Genomic DNA, 18,618 nt, shown 5'->3' on the forward strand with positions numbered 1-18,618 from the left:
TACTAAAAATACAAAAAAGTTAGGGGGGCGTGGTGGCGGGCGCCTGTAGTCCCAGCTACTCGGCAGGCTGAGGCAGGAGAATGGCGTGAACCCGGAAGGCGGAGCGAGGCGGAGCTTGCAGTGAGCCGAGATCGCGCCACTGCTCTCCAGCCTGGGAGACAGAGCGAGACTACGTCTCAAAAATATATATATATCTATATAGATCTCTACAGATATCTAGATATCTATCTATATATATAGATATTTATCTATAGATATATCTACATATCTATATATAGATCTATATATCTACATATCTATATATAGATATATCTATATAGCTCTATATATCTACATATCTATATATAGATCTATATCTATCGATCTATATATCTAGATATATAGATCGATAGATCTATATCTAGATACATATCTAGATATATAGATCGATAGATCTATCTCTAGATATCTATAGATATCTCTAGATATCTAGATATGTCTATAGATATATATACATACATACATATATTTGGCTGGGCGCGGCGGCTCACGCTTATGCCAGCACTTTGGGAGGCCAAGGCAGGCGGATCACTTAAGGTCAGAAGTTTAAGACCAGCCTGGCCAACGTGGTGATATGTTTAAAATAAAATTTTTTTTTCTTTTTTGAGACAGGGTCTCAACTCTGTCGCCCAGGCTGGAGTGCAGTGGTGCGATCATGGCTCATAGCAGCCTCGACCTCTAGCCACCAGGCCTGGCCCCAAACCTGTAATCTTGAAATGAATCAGGGTGGCTTTCTCTCCTTTCTGACATGTCTGTAACCCCTGTGGCAGAAGTTCCAACCCAAACACCAAAACTCTGATTCTGGGTTAAGAATTTTAATTTAGGACAGGTGCAGTGGCTCATGCCTGTAATCCCAGTGTTTGGGAGGCTGAGGTGGGTGGATCACTTGAGTCCAGGAGTTTGAGACCAGCCTGGACAACACAGCAAAACCTTGTCTTGCTGGGCGCTGTGACTCACACCTGTAATCCCAGGACTTTAAGAGGCCGAGGTGGATGGATCACTTGAGGTCAGGAGTTTGAGACCAGCCTGGCCAATATGGTGAAGCCCCGTCTCTACTAAAAATACAAAATTAGCCAGGCGTGGTGGCACAAGCCTGTAATCCCAGTTACTCAGGAGGCTGAGGCAGGAGAATAGCTTGAACCTGGAAGGCAGAGGTTCCAGTGAGCCAAGATTGCACCACTGCACTCCAGCCTGGGAGACAGAGAGAGACTCAGTCTCAAAAAAAAAAAAAAAAAGCAAAAAACAAACCAAACCAAAACAAAAAACACAAAAAAACATGATACCCCATCTCTACCAAAAATACAAAATTAGCTGGGCCTGGAGATGTGTGCCTGTAGTCCCAGCTACTGGGGAGGCTAAGGCGAGAAGATTGTTTGAGCCCAAGAGGTCGAGGCTGCAGTGGGCCGTGTTCATGCCACTGCACTCCAGCCTGGGCAACAGTGATACCCTGTTTCAAAAACAAACAAACAAACAAATTTTAATTAAACAAACAAAACCCCCCACGACACACCACCACCACTCTTTTGGCTTCAGGACTGTCCTTCTGTTTATCTATGGAGTAGGTTTTCACATATCCATTCCTTTTGCTGTGTGAACTGTGGTATTTAGCTAGCTTGTAATTCAAGTCTTTAAACAGATGCTCAAGAGCATTTAACCCACATATTAAAATCATATATTCACCCGTAAAAACAAAATGCAAATACTCTAATCATTCAAGTACTACCATAAACTCTAGGTTTTTTTTTTTTTTTTTGGAGATGGAGTCTCACTCTCTTGCCCAGGCTGGAGTGCAGTGGTGCAATCTCCACTCACTGCAAGCTCCGCCTCCCAGGTTCACGCCATTCCCCTTCCACAGCCTCCTGAGTAGCTGGCACTACAGGCGCTCGCCACCACGCCTGGCTAATTTTTTGTATTTTTTTAGTAGAGACGGAGGTTTCACTGTGTTAGCCAGGATGGTCTCGATTCTCCTGACCTTATGATCCGCCCGCCTTGGCCTCCCAAAGTGTTGGGATTACAGGCGTGAGCTACCGCGTCTGGCCGTTTTTTTTTTTTGAGACGAAGTTTCACTCGTTGCCCAGGCTGGAGTGTAATGGCGCGATCTCAGCCTACCGCAACCTTCGGCTCACCGTAACCTCTGCCTCCCAGGTTTAAGCGATTCTCCTGCCTCAGCCTCCCGAGTAGCTGGGATTACAGGCATGCGCCACCACGCCCAGCTGAGTTTTTTTTTTTTTTTTTTTTTTTTTTGAGATGGAGTTTCGCTCTTGTTGCCCAAGCTGGAGTGCAATGGTGCGATCTCGGCTCACTGCAACCTCTGCCTCTCAGGTTCAAGCGATTCTTCTGTGTCAGCCTCCCGAATAGCTGGGATTACGGGCGCGTGCCACCATGCCCGGCTAATTTTTGTATTTTTAGTAGAGACATTGTTTCATCATATTGGTCAGGCTGGTCTCAAACTCCTGACCTCAGGTGAGCCGCCTGCCTGGGCCTCCCAAATTGCTGGGATTACAGGCGTGAGCCATCGCACCCGGCCCGGCTGGTTTTTGTATTTTTAGTAGAGACCAGGTTTCTCCGTGTTAGTCAGGCTAGTCTCAAACTCCCGACCTCAGGTGATCTGCCCGCCTGGGCCTCCCAAAGTGCTGGGATTACAGGCGTGATCCACTGCGCCTGGCCATATTAGTATATTTTATTTCATACATATACACAGAGAGAAAAAAAAGAAAAAGAGAAAAGAAAGCACTGATATATGCTCTAACATGGATGAATTAGAAAACATTAAGTCAAAGAAGCTAGACATAAAAGGCCACATGTTGTATAAAAAATTCAATTTACATGAATTATCCAGAATAAGCAAATCCATAGAGACAGAAAGTAGATTAATACTGGGAGGAGGGGTGGGAGGGACAGGGGGCTTGGGGAGGAATGTGGGGTGGGGTGGCTGCTAAAGAGTGCAGGTTCACTACACCGGGGTGATGAAAATGCTCTGGATTTACTGGGGATGGTTGTAAAACTTCATGTATATACTAAAAAAAGTGAATTGTACACTTTAAAAGGGCATTATGGAATGTGAATTTTATCTCAAAACAAATTGTAAGTGAATGTCAAAGACTGGCAATAAAGTTTTTCTGACATGGAATGTTAGAAATTTCTTTATTATTACTTATTCTTATTAAGCGCCAGCTTTAATGCTGCAGAAAATTTCAAATCACCCTTGATAACCCACTTTCTTTTCTCCCACCCAAATTCTTGATCAAGAGTTTTTCAAGTAAAGACATGCTCTTCTCTCTTCTGTATAAAACTTTACGAAATAAAGGCAAAAGATTGTGTACATCTTGCTGGAAAATGCTGCCCAGGGCTCTGGAGACGGTGGCTGCCCGGGCTCCCTTCACTGTCCAGGTCCTGAAAGACTCTTGTTCATGAACTGTCTCTTCACAAAGCAAGTCCACCACTAACAAGAGAGAACAACACAGAATGAACAGCGGGGTCAAATTACAATAGAATTTGCATTTATTTAATAATAAAATTTCACATTAGTCTGGAATCTCTTATAAACTTTTTTTTTTTTTTTTTGAGACGGAGTCTCGCTCTGTCGCCCAGGCTGGAGTGCTGGAGTGCAGTGGTGTGATCTTGGCTCACTGCAAGCTCCGCCTCCTGGGTTCATGCCATTCTCCTGCCTTAGCCTCCCCAGTAGCTGGGACTACAGGCGCCTGCCACCACGCCTGGCTAATTTTTTGTATTTTTTAGTAGAGACGGGGTTTCACCATGTTAGCCAGGATGGTCTCAATCTCCTGACCTCATGATCCGCCTGCTTTGGCCTCCCAAAGTGCTGGGATTAGAGGCGTGAGCCACCGCGCCTGGCCATAAACCCTTTTTAGACAAAGTCTCACTCTGTCATTCAGGCTGGAGTGTAATGGCATGATCTTGGCTCACTGCAACCTCCACTTCCTGGGTTCAAGCGACTCTCTTGTCTCAGCCTCCTGAGTAGCTGAGATGACAGGTGCACACCATCATGCCTGGCTAATTTTTTGTATTTTCAGTAGAGATGGGGGTTTCACCATGTTGGCCAGGCTGGTCTCGAACTCCTGACCGCAAGTGATCCACTCGCCTCGGCCTCCCAAAGTGGTGGGATTACAGGCGTGAGCCACTGCGCCCGGCCTGCAATTCATTATTTAGTGTGATTCAGTGAACTCATATTACATACTAGACATATACTGGAAGTTAAGCAACATTGCAATGCAGAAATTAAAAATATTCTTGCAATGGAAGACCTTAGTGTGTTCAATGGTGGCTATGGGATAAAAGGTGATTTACCAATTAAGCAGGCAAGAAGAGGGTCTTACCTTGCTGGGTTTATCATTCTGAGGGTCGAAAACTTTCTCACAAAGTCTCAGTCCAGTCTCTTGCCTTAGCTGTTGTAAATAGGCTCTCATCACTTCTAAAACAGAACAATTTAAAAAAAACTGTATTTGCAAATACATCCCAAATGTACTGGTTGCAGCTCTGGATGCTCACTGTGGTAATACATTTTTATACATTTGAACAGGATACAAAATAGAAATGACAGTCCAGATAGTTTTATAACTATATTTGTTTTTGTTCAAAAGATTTTCTGCATGTCATCCTTGTTGCCAAGAATCGTTTGTGAGAGTGACTAATAAGATAATGTACTTCCTATGATTTCACTCTCAATCTGTACATGAATCAAGGCAAGAAAAAGAGGGGTGGTAGGAAGTCAAATGGAGAAAATCTTCTTGTGTCACAGAGTGAGGATAGAGACCTGTTCTTACCATCTTCCTGTTTGTTTGCAGGTTTGGCATAAATTGCGTTAAGTGGAAAACCAGGCTCTCCAGGAATGGGAAAATTAGTGATTCCCAGCGTATACATTTCTTTCTCACCTTGGCTTTTGGAATTGCACTGGAAAAAAAAATATATATATATATATACACACACACACACACACACACACACACACACACACACACACATATTTTACAGGGAAAAGAAGAATTCTATCCTTGGACCCCAGGTTAAGAACCCTTGAGTCAAGGGCTTAAAAGGAATTCCTCTGTCAAGATTTCTGTCTTGAGAAAATATATTCAAAGCCTTAAAACACCACTACTTTTATCTTTGTGTCAGTCAATTATACTACAAGTTCAGGTAACTAAATTCAAATTTTTCTCTTAAGTCCATGCTGTAAGTCAGAGGAAATATTTTCTACTTGTCTTTAAAGTCTCAACAAATCCCAGATGACTGGGAGGGTAAATGCCTCTCAGCAATTTGTTTTCCTGATATACAATCATCCAAGTTTAATTACCTTTTGCAGTTTCTTCAGACATTCAGAAATGTAGAGAGTTATATATATCAAGGTCCTATCAGCTTCATTCTACAGGGAGAAAAAGAAGACTTAAAAACAGTTATCAAAACATAACAATGATGTGCAATGTATGCATTCCATCTTTGTCTTCTGATTATCTGCTGAATGCAGTGGTAGGACAGCCACTATCACATCAAAACTCCCATTCTCCAAATGCACAGTCTCCTCAGTCTCCTTTTCCGTCTGCCCCTGGGAGGAAGGCACAAGCCCCACTCTGAGATGTGCAGCTGCTTTTTTTTTTTGAGACGGAGTCTTGCTCTGTTGCCCAGGCTGGAGTGCAGTGGCACAATCTCAGCTCACTGCAACCTCCACCTCCCAGGTTCAAGCAATTCTCCTGCCTCAGCCTCCCGAGTAGCTGGGATTACAGGTGCCCGCCACCACGCCTGGCTAATTTTTCTATTTTTAGTAGAGACGGGGTTTCACCATGTTGGCCAGGTTGGTCTCGAACTCCTGACCTCAAGTGATCTGTCCACCTCAGCCTCCCAAAGTGCTGGGATTACAGGCATGAGCCACCACGCTCGGCTGAGTGGCTGCTCTCTCTTGTTTTTCTCGGCTCCCCTTGCCCCAGGGTTCCCAAGGATCTGTGTCAACAGCCCCTCACTGTATAGGAAGAAGTAACAAAGCTGCCTGGAAAGCCTGAACTGCTCCATATGGTTGGCTAATTTTTAAAAACCCTTCCCTTCAGGGTCTCTGCCGAGAACAGAAATAGTCATTACTCTAAAGGAGGAAGCAACTATTTCACATTTGACTTGCTCCCAAAGAACTCCATAATCTCAATGTCTTGACCTAACCAAAAAGAAAATGTGGAGAAGACAAATGAATGTTGATCAAATGTGGTATGGACTTTGGGTCAAATTTTACACAAATTTAGGCCAGGTGCAGTGGCTTATGCCTGTAATCCCAGCACTTTGGGAGGTTGAGGTGGGTGGATTGCTTGAGCCCAGGAGTTTGAGACCAGCCTGGGCAACATGGCGAAACACCGTCTCTACTAAAAATACAAAAATTAGCCAGTCATGGTGGCGTGCGCCTGTAATCCCAGCTGCTAGGGAGGCTAAGGCCACAGAATCGCTTGAAGCCAGGAGGCAGAGGTTGTAATGAGTCAAGACTGTACCACTGCACTGCAGCCTGGGCAACAGAGCAAGACTCTGTCTCGAATTAAAAAAAAAAAAAAAAAGGCCGGGTGCGGTGGCCCACACCTGTAATCCCAACACTTTGGAAGTCCAAGGTGGGTGTATCACGAGCTCAGGAGATCGAGACCATCCTGGCCAACGTGGTGAAACCCTGTCCCTACCAAAAAATACAAAAATTAGCTTGGCGTGGTGGCGCGTGCCTGTAATCCCAGCTACTTGGGAGGCTGAGGCAGGAGAACCACTTGAACCCGGGAGTCGAGGGTTGCACTGAGCCGAGATCACGCCATTGCACTCCAGCCTGGTGACAGAGCGGGACTCTGTCTCAAAACAAAAAAACAACAAAAAAATTACCCCCAAACCACACCATTTTCCTATATATTTTTTTTTTTTTGAGTGTTTCACTTTTGCTGCCCAGGCTGGAGTGCAATGGCGTGATATTGGCTCACCGCAACCTCTGCCTCCTGGGTTCAAGTGATTCTCCTGCCTCAGCCTCCCAAGTAGCTGGGATTACAGGCACGCACCACCACGCCCAGTTAATTTTGTATTTTTAGTAGAGACGGGGTTTCCCCATGTTGGTCAGGCTGGTCTCAAGCTCCCGACCTCAGGTGATCCGCCCGCCTTGGCCTCCCAAATTACGGGCAGAGGCACTGCGCCCAGCCACATTTCCCTATTTTTAAGACAATATAGTATCTGGGAACAAATGAAATGTGGCAGAGTTTTTTGTTTTTTTTTTGAGACAGTCTTGCTCTGTCGCCCAGGCTGGGTGCAGTGGTGTGATCTCGGCTCACTGCAACCATCACCTCCTGGGTTCAAGCAATTCTTGTGCTTCAGCCTCCCGAGTAGCTGGGATTACAGGCATGCACTACTACACCTGGCTAATTTTTGTATTTTTGGTAGAGATGGGGTTTCGCTTTGTTGGCCAGGCTGGTCTCAAACTCCTGGCATCATGTGATCCACCCGCCTCAGCCTCCCAAGTGTTGGGATTACAGGCGTGAGCCACCATGCACTAATTTTTCTATTTTTTGTAGAGACGGGGGTTCGCCATGTTGCCCAGGCTGGTCTCGAACTCCTGAACTCAAGCAATGTGCCCAGAGAATTGTAACATTTATAACTGTTACAAACTTAACCCACACATGAGATATAGAAAACATTCTATTACCATCACAGAATGTTTAGACTACAATTTGTACACCAAGAGTCTACAAATAAATAATTCACAACCTGTTTGATTCCAGAAGTTCAGAGTTTGGCAAGGAGGGGCTGAAATTCCATTTTAGGGCCGGGAGCGGTGGCTCACGCCTGTAATCCCAGCACACTGAGAGGCTGAGGTGAGCGGATCATGAGGTCAGGAGATCGAGACACCATCCTGCCTAACATTGTGAAACCCCGTCTCTACTAAAAATACAAAAAATTAGCCAGGTGTGGTGGTGCATGCCTGTAGTTCCAGCTACCTGGGAGGCTGAGGCAGGAGGACTGTCTGAGCCCAGGAGGTTGACGGTATAGTGAGCTGTGATTGTGCCACTGCACTCTAGCCTGGGCGACGGAGCAAGACCCTGTCTCAAAACAAAACAAAAGGCTGGCACATAGTAGGTGCTGCTTAACTAATGTTGAATAAATAAAGATACTTCTAGCAAGGGGTTGGCAAACTTTCTCTGTAAAAGGCAGGCAGTATTTTTAGGTTTTGTGGGCCATACAGTCTTTGTCACAACTACTCAATTCTGCTGTTTTGGTGTGAAAGTAACTATAGATAATATAGAAACAAATGGTTGTGGCTGTGTTCCAATAAAGGTTTATTCATAAAAAGGGGCAGTGGGCCAAATGTGGCCCTCAGGTTAGAGTTTGCCAACCCCTGGTATAGAATTTGGAGGAAAAAAAAAGAAACTAATATTTATACAAAAGCTAACATTAAGCACTGCTCTCGAATTTAAAAATTACATGCTGATTTCATTTTATTTTCTCCTCACAGCAATCTGGATAGCAAGGTTGGTATTATCCCTATGAGAAAACTAAGTTAAATATTAAAAGCTCCGTAATTTACCTTAATTTCATAGTTTTTGAAGAAGACATTGGCCTTGAAGTAATAGATGGCTTCATCCACAATATCTGTATCTTTTGCTAAGCAGGACACAAGGGAAGGAGCACAGAGAACATTAGCCAAATACAAAACATAACAACTATCAAAGCCATAAAGGGAAAACACATACAACTGTCAACAGTTGTGGAGTTGAATAAAATAAAATGATCCTATTGAAATACAAAGTTTTTAGAAAATATTTATTTGTTTTTTTTTTGAGACAGAGTCTCGCTCTGTCACCCAGGCTGGAGTGCAGTGGCGTGATCTTGGCTCACTGCAAGCTCTGCCTCCCGGGTTCACGCCATTCTCCTGCCTCAGCCTCCTGAGTAGCTGGGGCTACAGGCACCTGCCACCACACCCCGCTAATTTTTTGTATTTTTAGTAGAGATGGGGTTTCACCATGTTAGCCAGGATGGTCTTGATCTCCTGACCGCGTGATCCGCCCATCTCGGCCTCCCAAAGTGCTGGGATTACAGGCATGAGCCACCGTGCCCAGCCTTTGTTTTTTTTTTTGAGACAGAGTTTCACTCTGTCGCCCAGGCTGGAGTGCAGTGGCGCGATCTTGGCTCACTGCAAGCTCCGCCTCCCGGGTTCACGGCATTCTCCTGCCTCAGCCTCCCAAGTAGCTGGGGCTATAGGCACCTGCCACCATGCTCAGCTATATTTTTTGTATTTTTAGTAAAGACGGGGTTTCACCGTGTTAGCCAGGATGGTCTTGATCTCCTGACCTCGTGATCCGCCCATCTCGGCCTCCCAACGTGCTGGGATCACAGGCATAAGCCACCGTGCCCGGCCAAATTTTTTTTTTTTGAGACGGAGTCTTGCTCCGTCGCCCAGACTGGAGTGAAATGGCATGATCTCGGCTCACTCTGCCTCCCGGGTTCAAGCGATTCTCCTGCCTCAGCCTCCCAAGTAGCTGGGATTATACGCATGTACCACCAGGCCTGGCTAATTTTTGTATTTTTAGTAGAAATGGGGTTTCACCTTGTTGGTCAGGCTGGTCTCGAACTCCTGACCTCGTGATCTGCCTGCCTCAGCCTCCCAAAGTGCTGGGATTACAGGAGTGAGCCACCACCCCCGGATTTTCAGAAAATATTTATAGAAAAGTAGTACATGGTTTATTTTTACAGCTTTATTGTTTTCGTAAAACTTATACATGCTCATTAGAAAATGAAATTCAATCAAAACAGTTTTATTTTTTAGAGAGAGGTCTTGCTCTGTTACCCGGGCTGGAGTGCAGTGGTACAATTATAACTCACCACAGACTTGAATTCCTGAGCGCAAGTGATCCTCCTGCTTCAGCTTCCCAGGTAGCCGGGACTACAGGCATGCACCATGAGGCCTGGCTAATTTTTTTCTTTAAAAATTAAATAAAATTTTTAAAGAAAAGTTTTTAAAGATGGCTGGGCACAGTGACTCACGCCTGTAATCCCAACACTTTGGGAGGCCGAGACGGGTGGATCACCTGAGGTCAGGAGTTTGAGAGCAGCCTGGCCAACATGGTGAAACTGCGCCTCTACTAAAAATACAAAAAATTAGCCAAGCATGGTGGCAGGCACCTGTAATCCCAGCTATTCGGGAGGCTAAGGCAGGAGAATCGCTTGAACTCGCGGGTGGAGGATGCAGTGAGCCAAGATTGCACCATTGCACTCCAGCCTGGGCAACGAGATCAAAACTCTGTCTCCAAAAAAAAAAAAAAAGTTTTTTTTAGAGATGCAGTCTCACTATGTTGCCTAGGCTGGTCTCAAACTCCTGGCCTCAAGTGATCCTCCTGCCTCCTGAGTAGCTAGGATTACAGGCATAAGCCACAGCACCAGGCAAAAAAAAAATTTTTAATTGTCACCTTAATTCCCATTTCCCCAAAAATAACTACCATTAGCATTTGGTGAACATTATTCAAGACGTCTCTCAATGCATTTATAAAAAAACACTGAGACATAGACTAACTTTAACTGCTTCCTAAAAATAAAAAGTATTCAGTCGGGCGCAGTGGCTCACGCCTGTAGTCCCAGCACTTTGGGAGGCTGAGGCGGATGGATTGCCTGAGGTCAGGAGTTCGAGACCAGCCTGGCCAACATGGAGAAACCCTGTCTCTACTAAAAATACAAAAACTAGCCGGGCATGGTGGTACGTGCCTGTAATCCCAGCTACTCAGGGGGCTGAGGCAGGAGAATTGCTTGAACCCAGGAGGCAGAGGTTGCAGTGAGCTGAGATCATTCCACCAAACTCAAGCCTGGGTGACAGAGCGAGACTCCATCTCAAAAAAGTAATAATAAAAAATATATATAATTAAATAAAATAAAAAGTATTCAATATAATTTTATTTGAATTTACATATTATAGTTTCAGAAAAAAACTCAATTATTTAGAACATGTTGAGGTTCAGATACACATCTTTCTTTTTATGAAAACTATGACTTAAAATATACTTGTACAAGCTGTTGTAGGTAGCTCTAGACGGACAAAAGCCAGAAATACTGTCTTGACAAAGACAGATCTCATGACACAATTTGTTTGGCAATTTTTTGTTTTTCTTCTTCTTATTTTAAAAAGGTCAAAATCCCAGGGTCTTGATATCTGGCAGTTGGTTTCAGCAGTGCTGAGACAGTTACTTATACTTCTTGTCTATGACTGTTAACGTTCTCGCACAGCAGAAATGCAAAGTAATCTTGAAGCTTTCATACTCTGCAATTCAGTTGTCTTCATCCCAGCTCATTGCCCTGTGGAAGAATTTCAACAGAACTCTAACTCTAGACTTGTGTTCCTTGCAATTTACTTTTTTTTTTTTTGAGATGGAGTCTCGCTCTGTTGCCCAGGCTGGAGTGCAGTGGTGCAATCTTGGCTCACTGCAAGCTCTGCCTCCTGGGTTCACGCCATTCTCCTGCCTCAGCCTCCCGAGTACCTGGGACTACAGGAGCCCGCCACCACGCTTGGCTAATTTTTTGTATTTTTAGTAGAGATGGGGTTTCACCGTGTTAGCCAGGATGGTCTCGATCTCCTGACCTCGTGATCCACCCGTCTTGGCCTCCCAAAGTGCTAAAGTACTGGGATTACAGGCGTGAGCCACCGCGCCACGCCCTATTTTTTATTTATTTATTTTTTCGAGATCAAGTCTCACTTTGTCGCCCAGGCTGGAGTGCCATGGCACAATCTAGGCCCAGTGCAACCTCCGCCTCCTGAGTTCAAGTGATTCTCCTGTCTCAGCCTCCCATGTAGCTGGGACTACAGGTGCCTGCCACCACAGCTAGCTAATTTTGGTATTTTTGGTAGAGACAGAGTTTCACCATGTTGGCCAGGCTGGTCTCAAACTCCTGACCTGAGGCAATCTGCCCGCCTCAGCCTCCCAAAGTGCTGGGATTACAGGCGTGAGCCACTATGCCTGGCTGCAATCTGTTTTCTTATCTGTGAAAGAAAACTGTCTTGGAGGACTCAATATTGTTTCCAAAAACCAGCTAGTTCTTCTAAATGCAATGACAGGAGGGGGCAAAGGCCAAAGGATTCTGAAATTAGAAGAATACTTGGCACATAAAAGGCATTCTACAGATATTTGTTGAATATAAATGAATTAGTGTGATTAATGCTGTTATTTAGCTCACAGCACAGGCCTCCATTCCAATTCAGGTTTTTTTTTTTTTTCTTTTGAAACAGAGTTTTGCTCGTTGCCTAGGCTGGAGTGCAATGACATGATCTCGGCACACTGCAACCTCCACCTCCCAGGTTCAAGCAATTCTCCTGCCTCAGTCTCCCAAGTAGTTGGGATTACAGGCATGCGCCACCATGCCCGGCTGATTGTTTGTATTTTTAGTTGAGATGGGGTTTCTCCATGTTGGTTACGCTGGTCTTGAACTCCTGAACTCAGGTGATCCACCCACCTCGACCTCTCAAAGTGCTGGGATTATAGGTGTGAGCCATCACGCCTGGCCTTTGCAGTGAAAAAAAATTTTTTTTTTTTTTTGAGATGAAGTCTCACTCTGTCACCCAGGCTGGAGTGCAGTGGTGCAATCTTGGCTCACTGCAACCTCCACCCTCTGTGTTCAAGCGATTCTCCTGTCTCAGCCTCCTGAGTAGCTGGGATCACAGGTGCCCACCACCATGCCTAGCTAATTTTTGTATTTTTAGTAGAGTTGGGGTTTCGCCATGTTTGCCAGGCTGGTCTCGAACTCCTGACCTTAAGTGATCCACTTGCCTTGGCCTTCCAAAGTGCTGGGATTACAAGTGTGAGCCACCGCACCCAGCCTTGTGATTTTCTTTTATGTTATTTTTCTTCTTTCCCAGGCTGTCTTCTTCCTTGTTCCTTTTCCTCAGAATCAAGTAGAGACTGTGGTGACTCACCATATGCATTAAGTTTACTGAGCTTTCAAATGGTGTTGAAAACAAAATTAAGTTTAAAAAAGGTCAAGTCAAACAGTCTGGCAGAGAAATGGGGACTGGATAAGTACCAAATTGGTAATTATAATAATGGTCTTGGAAACCATGAATGGAATTCAGTTCAGACCCTTGCAGGGTACAGGGAAACCATGTCTAACATAATACAAATTATACTGTTGGGAGAACATCTCAGAAAGCATCAGAAGAGTCTCAGACAGTGTCTGAAAAATATTGCGGCTTTCTGAAATAAAATTCAGAAAAGCGGGAATAGACGTAAGTAATGTTACATAGTACACTTCAGATTTAAGATTGAGGTATTGCTAAAAATGAAGATCTTGAAGAATGAATAAAGGAAGTAGATTTAGACGAGGAAGAGGTTAAAATATTTGTTGTTGTTCTTTTCCAGGTTGATGACAGAAAGGATGGGCATGTGGCATTCTAGACGTAACAGCATTAGATTTGTTTGAAAGAACTGATAAACAGTGTCCAGAATTAAGCACATTTCCTCCATTTTCTCAAAAGAGTTTCCTGGAGAAGTCAGAAGAAATAATACAATTTCCTATTAAATGCAACATATAACCACTATCTTGAAAGGTCTAGACCACAGTATCTACCAAGCAAAGTACAAGGGCAATTTGAGAGAGAAGACTGAGCTAAGAATTTTTCTGATTTGATCATTTCAGAAGATTGTTAGGCATTTCGTACCAAAATTTGAAAATAATGGGTTTAGACTTACTCTCTCTGGGGGCAGGTCCTTTGAATTGACTTCTGATAGGCAACAGTGCCATGTTTCCGATGAGTTTGGTATCAGGATCCATGAGAGAAGAGTGGTAAGCCTGTAATGGCAAGCCCAGGAAGAACACAGAAGCAGAAAAAGAGCAAATGTCACTGTGGCAAACAACCTTCCCTTAAAGGAAAAAAAGAGTAAACCACCCAAGATTAATTAGGGGAGGGAGAAGGGATAGCAGCATTGAGGTGCGAGGGCTGGTTCTTTCTGGCTCAAGAAAACCAATTGTTAAATTTTGAGGCATTTTTCAAGCTGGTTGTTAAACACAGCTCTTCTCAAAAATCAAATTATATAAACTTACAATTAAGTAAATGATGTTGGCTGGACGTGGTGGCTCATGCCTGTAATCCCAGCACTTTGGGAGGCTGAGGCAGGCAGATTGCCTGAGCTCAGGAGTTTGCAACCAGCCTGGGCAACACAGTGAAACCCCATCTCTACTAAAATATAAAAAATTAGCCAGGCGTGGCGGCGTGCGCCTGTAGTCCCAGCCATGTGGGAGGCTAAGCTGGAGAATCACTTGAACCCAGGAGGCGAAGGCTGCAGTGAGCCGAGATCGTGCCACTGCACTCCAGCCTGGGCAACAGAGCAAGACTGTCTCAAAAAAAAAAAAAAAGTAAATAATGTTAAAAACAATGATGCTTAAGTATTCATCACTTCTTTTTTTTTTTTTGAGAAGGAGTCTCACCATGTTGCCTAAGATGATCTCAAACTCCTAAGCTCAAGTGTTCCTCCTGCCTCAGCCTCCCAAAGGGCTGGGACTACAGGTGTGAGCCACCACACCTGGCTACTTCCTAATTTTTTTTTTTTTTTTTGAGACAGAGTTTGGCTCTTGTTGCCCAGGCTGGAGTGCAATGACATGACCTTGGCCCACTGCAACCTCCGCCTCCCGGGTTCAAGTGATTCTCCTGCCTCAGCCTCCTGAGTAGCTGGGATTATAGGGATAAGCCACCACGCCCAGCTAATTTTGTATTTTTGGTAGAGACGATGTTTCTCCATTTTCGCCAGGCTGGTCTCGAACTCCCGACCTCAGGTGATCTGCCCGCCTTGCCCTCCCAAAGTGCTGGGATTACAGATGTGAGCCACTGCACTGCACTTGGCCTACTTCCTAATTTTTTTTTTTTTTTGAGACGGAGTCTTGCCCTGTCGCCCAGGATGGAGTGCGGTGGCGCGATCTCTGCTCACTGCAACCTCCGCCTCCTGGGTTCAAGCGATTCTCCTGCCCCAGCCTCCCAAGTAGCTGGGATTACAGGTGCGTGCCACCACGCCCAGCTAATTTTTGTATTTTTAGTAGAGACAGGGTTTCACCATGTTGGTCAGGCTGGTCTCGAACTCCTGACCCCATGATCCACCCGCCCCGGCCTCCCAAAGTGCTGGGATTACAGGCGTGAGCCACTGCACCCGGCAATAACCTAATTTTTAAAAATTACATTTTACTATTGTCTATGTTCTTAAGGTTATTATTACGAAATACTAAATAATGGGGTGCTGCTGTGCATCTCTTCCAATTCTATGTTCGGTGACATCACATTGGTATCTGGCCAAAGTATTTCCACTACAGAAAGACAAACATCATATAAATCAGGGTACCCAGCCCCCAGCTAAACCAAGACCCAAGCACTATCTTTTCAGCTCTGCCACTTCATGGCGTTATGCTTTTGACCAAGACATCATTCTTCTTCTCTTAGCTTGTTTCCAAATTTGTAAAATGAGAAGATATATATTCCCTTCAGTGGGTAGGTGTGTGTTAAAGGAAGGGATAAAAAAAATCACATTTATGAGAGCATTTTGTATGCTGATTCTTAGTTCTGCTTTTTACAAGATGTCTGGCTTTTTATAAGTCAACATGGGTCCCATTCATATATTCATTCATTCATCAAATGATTGCTAAGCACCTTCTATGTGCAAGACACTGTGATATAGTAATATACAAAGTAGTACGATTCTGGTCCTTGAAGAGTAGAGAAGACAGACAGAAAATAATCACAGGATGGGATGGGCGGGGTGGCTCACGCCTGTAATCCAAACACTTTGGGAGGCTGAGGCGGACAGATCACAAGGCCAGAAGATCGAGACCACCCTGACCAACATGGTGAAACCCCATCTCTACTAAAAATATCAAAATTAGCTGGGTGTGGTAGTGCATGCCTGTATTCCCAGCTACTTGGGAGGCTGAGGCATGAGAATCGCTTGAACCCAGGAGGCAGAGGTTGCAGTGAGCCGAGATGGCACCACTGCACTCCAGCCTGGCGACACAGCAAGACTCTGTCTCAAAAACAAACAAACAAACAAACCCCTCCCCCCAAAAAAACAAACAAACAAAACCCAACAGAGTGAATCCAGGGTGCTCTATGTGCGATTGGAACCAGTACAGGGATTTAGAGTCCTTTTTTTTTTTTTTTTTTTTTTTGGAGACAGAGTTTCCTAGGCTGGAGTACAGTGGCAGGATCACAGCTCACTGCAGCCTCAAACTCCTGGCTCCAGGTGATCCTCCCACCTCAGCCTCTTGAGAGGCTGGGAGGACATGCACTACCACATCCAGCTAATTTATTTTTATTTTTGTAGAGGCAGGGTCTCATTATGTTGCCCAGGTTGGTCTCAAACTCCTGGGCTCAAGTGATCCTCCCATCTTGGCCTCCTAAAGTGTTGGGATTACAGGCATAAGCCACTGCACCCAGCCTAGAGTCCTGGCTTAAAACCTGGTTTTACCATTACTAGGCAACCTTGTCCAAATTAACTTCTCTGAGGCTCCGTTTCCTCTTCTGTAAAACAGGAATCATGGTACCTACTTCATAGGGTCGTTATGAGGATTAGATGGGATAATTTATAAAGTGTGTACCCCAGAGCTCAGGAGTCAAATGGTAATTATGGGATTCATAAAATATGCATTTGTGAGGCTGAGCGAGGTGGCTCATGTCTGTAATCCCAACACTTAGGGAGGGTGAGGCAGGAGGACTGCTTGAGCCCAGAAGTTTGAGATCAGCCTGGACAACATGGTGAGACTCTGTCTCTACTAAAAACACAAAAACTTAGCTGGGCATGGTGGCGTACACCTGTAGTCCCAGCTGCTCAGGAGGCTGAGGTGGGAGGATCACCTGAACCGAGTTTGTGTCACTGAACTGCAGCCTGAGAGACAGGGTCACACCCTGTCTCAAAAAAAAAAAAAATGTATTTGCAACTATGGCTTGCTCCTTTTCATCACAGGTATGCTTTATCTAAAGCAGCCTCCGCCTTCCCTCTCACCAACTGTCTTGTTACCCATCTAGCTTCTTTTTTTCCGGGGGGGGGGGGGGTGGTGGTACAGAGTCTCACTCTGTCACTAGACGAGTGCAGTGGCACGGTCTCGGCTCACTGCAACCTCCGCCTCCTGGGTTCAAGCGATTCTCCTGCCTCAGCCTCCCAAGTAGCTGGGATTACAGGCACGCACCACCACGCCTGGCTAATTTTTGTATTTTTAGTAGAGATGGGGTTTCACCATGTTGGCCAGGCTGGTCTTGAACTCCTGACCTCGTGATCCGCCCACCTAGGCCTCCCAAAGTGCTGGGATTACAGGCGTGAGCCACTGCGCCTGACCACCCATCTAGCTTCTTTATAGCATTTGTCACTACCTGACACTACCGTATGTATCTCCTTTATTATGTTTACACTTTTATTGTCTCGACTCCCGATTTGAATGTACATTCTTTAAGATTAGGGATTTGTTGAACTTATTTGCTGCTGTAAATACAGCCTGGCAGGCAGCAGGTGCTCGTTAACGTTTGTTAAAAATAATGTGTGAGCAGGCTGGGCGCGATGGCTCACGCTTATAATCCCAGCACTTTGGGAGACCGAGGGGGCGGATCACCTGAGGTCTGGAGTTCCAGACCAGCCTGGCCAACATGGTGAAACCCCGTCTCTACTAAAATGCAAAAAATTAGCTGGGCGTGGTGGCGCGCGCCTGTAATCTCAGCTACCCGGGAGGCTGAGGCACGAGAATTGCTTGAACCAGGGTGGTGGAAGTTGTAGTGAGCCGAGATCGCCTCACTGCACTCCAGCCTGGGCGACAGAACGAGACTCTCTCAAAAAACAAACAACAAAAAAAGTGTGAACAATCACATAATAACTGAACCACCTTTTCCCGAATCTGCAAAATGGAGACCATGACGGTGATAAATCTACCCCACAAACTGGCTGTCAGAAATTAAGTACAACCAGGCCGTCATAATTTTTTACTCCCACTCTGATGGCACACGAAAAAGGAAATCTTTGGAAGTCAGGCGCCGAACGAGTCTGTGAGGGCCCTAAACCCAGCTGGCTCCGGGATGGCCGCCGCTGCCGGGAAGTGGGTTCTGACAAATGACAAACAGCAGAGGGAGCCTGACCCCGGGGCGGAGGAGGAAGTGGGCCTGACAGAAAAAGGAGAAGCTAGACCCCTGGACTTGAAATATGAAAAATAAAAAGCGCAGCCCTTGGCTTCGCTCTCTAGTGAGGCTTTGGGAACCCTGCCGGAGTCGGAAGGAGTAGACGGAGAGAGAAAAGGGCCTCCTCACACACCCTGGACCCTTGGCCCACTCCTGCCGCGCCCCCGCCTCCCACGACTGGCACCCCCGGGCCGCCCCAATCCTTCAGCAACCGGTCCCCTCCCCTCGCCTCCCTCCTTCTCGGGCCCCAGCTTCCTCTCTGCCTTCCGCCGCCCGCTTCTCTCGGCACACACACGGTTTCTCTCTGCTCTTCGCAATCCCCGCTGTCTCCCCACACCGTGGATCGAACCCTCACCGGCATCTTGGCGGCGCCCGGGTTTCAACCCAGAGGAGCAGGATCCAGGTACAGCGGAGCGCTTCCGGTCTGGCAGCCTGGGCGAGGTAGGCGGAAGCGA

At 45.7% G+C, this 18,618-nt stretch overlaps 1 protein-coding gene across 2 annotated transcripts, besides 2 other annotated features; it reads right to left on the reverse strand.

Moving 5' to 3' along the window:
* Nucleotides 1-110: an enhancer, noted in NCBI's record as "active region_7002". NCBI's record gives its function as "activates an Ori minimal core promoter by ATAC-STARR-seq in GM12878 lymphoblastoid cells {active_cell/tissue: GM12878}" and the evidence as "EXISTENCE:reporter gene assay evidence [ECO:0000049][PMID:35858748]".
* On the reverse strand, nucleotides 3,087-18,601 carry ARPC3 (actin related protein 2/3 complex subunit 3). 2 transcript variants are annotated; one of them, NM_001287222.2, is made up of 7 exons: nucleotides 18,519-18,601; nucleotides 13,716-13,815; nucleotides 8,576-8,652; nucleotides 5,348-5,416; nucleotides 4,821-4,947; nucleotides 4,374-4,465; nucleotides 3,087-3,481 (listed from the first exon to the last, which is right to left on the reverse strand). In NM_001287222.2, exons 1-7 carry the CDS (start codon nucleotides 18,522-18,524, stop codon nucleotides 3,419-3,421), a joined length of 534 nt encoding a protein of 177 aa, NP_001274151.1. In that variant the 5' UTR covers nucleotides 18,525-18,601; the 3' UTR covers nucleotides 3,087-3,418. The 2 variants fall into 2 exon arrangements, with proteins under 2 accessions (NP_001274151.1, NP_001265485.1); NM_001278556.2 differs by having other exon boundaries at nucleotides 4,374-4,468.
* Nucleotides 17,157-18,009: an enhancer, noted in NCBI's record as "H3K27ac-H3K4me1 hESC enhancer chr12:110886698-110887550 (GRCh37/hg19 assembly coordinates)". NCBI's record gives its function as "activates a minimal SCP1, AML or CMV promoter by ChIP-STARR-seq in primed H9 embryonic stem cells {active_cell/tissue: H9 hESC(primed)}" and the evidence as "EXISTENCE:reporter gene assay evidence [ECO:0000049][PMID:30033119]".

The sequence above is a fragment of the Homo sapiens genome, chromosome 12 (assembly GCF_000001405.40).
Source record: "Homo sapiens chromosome 12, GRCh38.p14 Primary Assembly".
Lineage (NCBI taxonomy): Eukaryota > Metazoa > Chordata > Mammalia > Primates > Hominidae > Homo > Homo sapiens.